This window comes from Homo sapiens, chromosome 3 (assembly GCF_000001405.40).
Source record: "Homo sapiens chromosome 3, GRCh38.p14 Primary Assembly".
NCBI classification, from domain to species: domain Eukaryota; kingdom Metazoa; phylum Chordata; class Mammalia; order Primates; family Hominidae; genus Homo; species Homo sapiens.
Genome location: NC_000003.12, coordinates 64,060,193 through 64,065,449, shown reverse-complemented (window position 1 = coordinate 64,065,449; position 5,257 = coordinate 64,060,193). Strand labels below are relative to the sequence as shown.

Here is a 5,257-nt window from a genome sequence, read left to right as displayed (position 1 = left end):
AGTTAATGTTATATGTCAATTTGACAGGACCACATGTCTAGATATTTGGTCAAATATTATTCTGGCTGTTTCTATAAAGGCGCTTTTAGATGAGATTAATATTTAAATTCATAGACTCTGAGAACAGCAGATTACCCTCCATAATGTCTGTGGGCCTCATTCAATCACAGGAAGGCCTTAATAGAACAAAGACTGATCTCTCCTGAGTGAGAAGAAATTCTACCAGCCAACTGTCTTTGGACTCTGACTGCAACTCTTCCCTGGGTCTCTAGCCTGTGGCCAGTCCTGTAGATTTTAAACTTAACCAAGCCTTCACAACTGCACGAGTCAATTCCTTGATCAACCCATCTCTCTATCTATCTATTTATCTGTACTTCCTGTTGGTTCTGTTTCTGTGGAGAACCCGGACTAATACCCCATGGATTATTATGCACCTATGAGTTGGCTCTATACCTAGGAACCTGGAGGGATTTATATGATGCATTATTAAATGGAAGAAGCAAGATGTGGAGATACATGTTGTAAGAGAAGCAGTGGCCAAAAATGTGCTTGTTTCTATTGGCATAGAGAAAGATAGGAAAGAAAACATGACAAGTTTTAACAGTGGTTATCTGGAAGGGGTGTAGGGAGGTAAAAAGAAACAATTGAAATACAAAAATATTAATCAGATAATGCTGATGAAAATTGTAGAATATTAAATCCTCCGATATTATTAAAAGTAAGAAAGTACTAAATATACCTATGGGGGGGGATTAGAAGTTAAAAATGGAAAAAAATTTTAAATTGATATGCTTTGGGATTGGGATTTGGGGACACTCTTTTTCTTGGATATCTGATACTTCAATATTATAATAATTAAAATATATGTATTCCTGGGTATGACCCCAACAATTCAGATTTTGTAAGGTGAGCAGGGGTCTGGGAGTGTGAGAATTAGTACTTTTTAAATAAAGGCCCCCAGAGTAATTCTTGATGCATCACTGAGTTTGGGAACTGCTAATTCAATAATTATTCTTTCAAGCTAGGACACACTTGATTTTTCCCTGGAAACAATTAGTGAAGGAGGGCCATCAGTGTGAACAGGAGAGAAGTCCCAGAGCCTTGCTTAGCCCCATAGCTGAGTGGCCTGCCCCTGAGTCCCCCCTACACCCCTGAAAAGGTCTGATGATCTGGCCTTCCTGAGGGACAGGGAAACAGGGGTGGTCAGACCGCAGGTGCAGGCCATTCTCTGCTCCCACAACTCCACAGTCATATCCATTCACTTGCCATTGCTCTTTCAACTGCCAACTTTTGTTTTAGAAATGCAGACATTTATATGGCACTGTATAGTGACTTCATGTATCTTATCTCATTGGATCCTCCCTCGTTCCTGACAAGGTGGATAGAGAGCTGTTGTTGCTATTGTCTCTGTCTACAAGTGGTGACAATGAGTCTTGGAAACTAGTTAGATGACCTCTTTTGACCCAACTATTTCATGGAAGAGATAGAACCTCGAACCCCAAGTCTGCCTTTCAAATTTCTTTTTTCCCATTCCACCCACCACATGGCCTTCTCACCTTATTTAAATTGTTTGCTGAAGGACATCCTCTTTCACATTCCTTAAATATCCAGCCTTTAATCTTCGATGATTAGATGTGAAAAACATTTTCTTATGATTGACATAGGATTTGACGCATGCTGTTTTATCTTTGTGTTTGCTTTCTTTGTTAGCTGTTTCGCATCTGCTTTTGTTAGTCATTCCATGTGGGGGGTTAACTTTATACTGTATTCATCACAGATAATTCAGGGTAGAGTTTTACAAACATGTTTGGGACAATGCAAACTGAAATTGGCAAGATGTACTTTCCCCCTAAGTAGAAACTATTGTTCCCTTGACGGGATGGTTTGTCTTTTTCATTCCAAGGACACTTGAACAATGAGTTTGAAAGCTGCTTCCCAGGAGGCAGAACAAACAACACCACACCTGAGAATTAAAGCAGAAAAGCATCTTGAAATATGTGATAAGAGTGTAGTCCTCCAGTTAAGGAAAACTTTCCTAGTTTTAAAAAATATGCAACATGGAGTAGAGTCAGGTCCACAGGCAGCAGCAGGAGCATATCATCACTGCTAGCAGAATGCTCTGGTAACTGGATTTTTGTTCCTGATAAAATGAGAAGGTCTGTTTTTTGATCATGGAAACATTTTTCCAAAAGAAACCCAAATATATTTTCAAAGTATTTCCCAAGTGTCAGCAACTATTAAGTAGAAAACACTCATTAGTTAACAGACTAGAGGAAAAAAGGGGCTTCAAGTCAGGGCACTCACTGGTCAATTTTGAAGATCCACAGTGTTTTGATTAAGAGCCAATGAATTATGCAATAGGTTTATTATCCAAGGTAGAATCAAGAAGTTGAAAAATTCCTGTATGAACTGCGAGGACAACTGATTTAGTGAGCAATCTGTCTGAGAACCAAATTCCTTCTGCTTAGCTCAAAGTGCACTTGACTCTGACCTTTAGTTCATGGAGGGTCGTTGTGGAGACTGATACTGAGTTTCATTAATGCATCAGTCTCAGCTAGTCTCAGTAAGTATCCTTTCTTATCATCCTGGAACTTCAACATCCTGGTGGGATGTGTTTCCTTAGTAACTTGGGGAACTAGAGCCACCCCACTTCCTTTCCTCTCTCCTAAAAATCAAAAGCCTTGATTTTCTGCCTTGATCGTTTTTTTTTTTTTTAATGCCACATCCAAGAAAAAAGTTGAAGAAAACATCAGCATGGCATAGGCTGGTGTCATTTGCGAAAGAGCTGGTGACCTAGAGATAGGGCTGGAGGCCATTCTAGAGGCGAAATAAAGCCTATCTTGTTGTCAAGAGGATGGAATAGCCTTGTCTTAGTAAGAAGTGAGATGCCACAGTATTATATGAGAGAGAGAGAGAGTGCAGAAAGGGCTTTTATTCATCTGATCCATAGTGATTGTTCCTTTAGCCTCTTATCTTCCCACTGCTTACTGGCATCAACCACTTGAATTAAGTAATCCAGACGCCTGGCCAGCCCACCTCTTTGAAGGGCACTGAAAAAGATCCCAGCTTCATTTCTGTATTATCTTCATAAGGCAGACAGGGAGATACCCTCTTGCCATTTCCTTTAGATTAGTAAAAAGAGCCCTCTGAATCCGAGGGTTTCTGCCCAAGTGAACAATGGACCACCCTAAAAAGGAGGGAAACGAAGGTCTTTGGAGTTATATCAAAATAGAACTGACTAAAATTAAAATTCCAAGGCAAACAGTTTTGCTATCAAACAAGTTGTCATAAATGTTTCATCACTGACTTTCCCAAAGCTCTGGCATTAAACATTAATACACAAACAACTGAAATGTGCCCACTTTTAGCATGGGCTCTAGTCTTCCTCTTTCCTCCTCCAATCAGGAATAAATAAAAGGCAGCATCAGGTTTTGCGTTAGTGTTTGTCAAATGCTTTGAAGTATGTGATAATGCCGTAATAACGCCATGGGTGGCAATGGTATTCTTTTGCCCATTATGCAGATGAAGTTAGTGAGCCAAAAAGAGTCTTAAAGTATTTGCTCACAGTTGCTCCAACAGCATTCAAAGAACTGGCATTTGCACCTCTTCCTTTTCTCAGACTGGTCAGTTACATTATGGTTCATCCAAATTTTGGGGAACTGTTGCAGCTGTTTTTTAAAAACGAGATGCCTCCATGGTGCACTAATGCAAGGAAATTGCCACAATACTGAGCAAATATTGTGAAGCCGCAAGTATGTGTGTTCATGTACATGTGATGAATAGAGAGAGTTCTGGAACTGTGCACACACACAGTTGGTGACAGTGTTTACTTCCATGGTGGTGTGTATGATGGGGGTGGACTGCCTTCATTATTTACTTCATATACTCATGTATTATTTAACTTTTTAATGACAAGGGTATGCTATGTTTGTCATAAACTTTCCCTTTACTCAAGATATATAACCGAAACATCCTTCCTATCTCAAATCTTTTTGCTCTCTCCAATTCTGCAGACCTGTGAGAAGCAAGAAGAATATTGTTATTCTCCATATTCAAATTAATCCATGACAATAAACACTGATGCATATAACCAGTGCCCCATAATATACCAACCACACTTACTGTCATGAGAGGCAGTCCATGAACTTAAAACAAGGAACTAACAAACACTGTCTCCTTTGTAGGTGCCAGACACTTTCCCATGTTAGCCAATTTGAGCCACTCACTACCTGTGCAGAGGAGGAGTAGTTAGCTCTGGTTCTATAGACGATAAATCCAGAACTCAGAGTAACAATAACATGCCCATGTTCACACACAAATACATGGCAGAGCTGCACTAGTGCCTGTTCCACACCACGATGCCTCCTGGAAGTCAACTTGGTAAAATCATTTTTCAGTGAAACATAAGATTCAGGATAATGATTTTTGGGGTTTTTATTTCTGTTTTTATGAGACCATTGAGTTTCATTCCTCTTGGCAATAATCTATATGACCTTAGCTTATCACAATAAAGAAGCCCCATGGGAGGAAAAGAGGGGCCATTGGTTAGTGTGATTTTGTTCAATATAAATCATCAATTTTATGAGCTAAATATAATTTTTGATAGCACAGACATTTTGAATTAGAATTGATGATTGAGGCTTTGACAGCATCTCAAGCTACCTCTTAACCCCATAATGTCCATTCATACATTATTGACTCCCATGGTCCTTTCCCTTTGTCCAGCCCACCTCTCAATGCAGGGACATGAAGGCTCCCATCTTGCGAGCATCAGATAGGTTGCAACTCATGAAGCATCTTTGTTCCCAGATAGTACTGTACTTTCCCTCCACCCTCAAGGGTCACAGTAACAAACGTCAACTGGGAAAAGAAATCCATTTAGTTTTTATTAAGCTGCTTGACTTTTCCAGGGGTCTTTAACTTCCATCTTGGTTAAATGGTAACTGGACACTGAAGAAATAGCCTCAACTCTCTCAAGTAAGTCCAAAGGTTTGTTAAGGACCAGAAAAAATTAAAAATCCCAGAAGGGAAGGTCACCAAAATATTAACAGTGCTTCTGTGAAGTGACAAGATTGAAGTTCTTTTTTTAGTTCTTGCTTTACACTTTTCTGTTTTTTTCCAGATTTTCTACAACAAACATGTATTCACGTTTTAATCACAATAAAATGTTATATATTTTTTTAATTCTGAAAAGCATGATGTGAGAAGCTTTACATGCAGTATTATCCTAGTTCTGTAACCATGTGCTTACAAAATT

At 39.2% G+C, this 5,257-nt stretch overlaps 2 annotated features.

The window, feature by feature from the left end:
* Positions 1,011-2,210: an enhancer, noted in NCBI's record as "P300/CBP strongly-dependent group 1 enhancer chr3:64048916-64050115 (GRCh37/hg19 assembly coordinates)". NCBI's record gives its function as "activates an origin of replication core promoter dependent on BRD2, BRD4, P300/CBP, MED14 and CDK7 cofactors, with strong dependence on P300/CBP, by STARR-seq in HCT116 cells {active_cell/tissue: HCT116}" and the evidence as "EXISTENCE:reporter gene assay evidence [ECO:0000049][PMID:35650434]".
* Positions 1,337-2,160: an enhancer, noted in NCBI's record as "OCT4-NANOG hESC enhancer chr3:64048966-64049789 (GRCh37/hg19 assembly coordinates)". NCBI's record gives its function as "activates a minimal SCP1, AML or CMV promoter by ChIP-STARR-seq in naive H9 embryonic stem cells {active_cell/tissue: H9 hESC(naive)}" and the evidence as "EXISTENCE:reporter gene assay evidence [ECO:0000049][PMID:30033119]".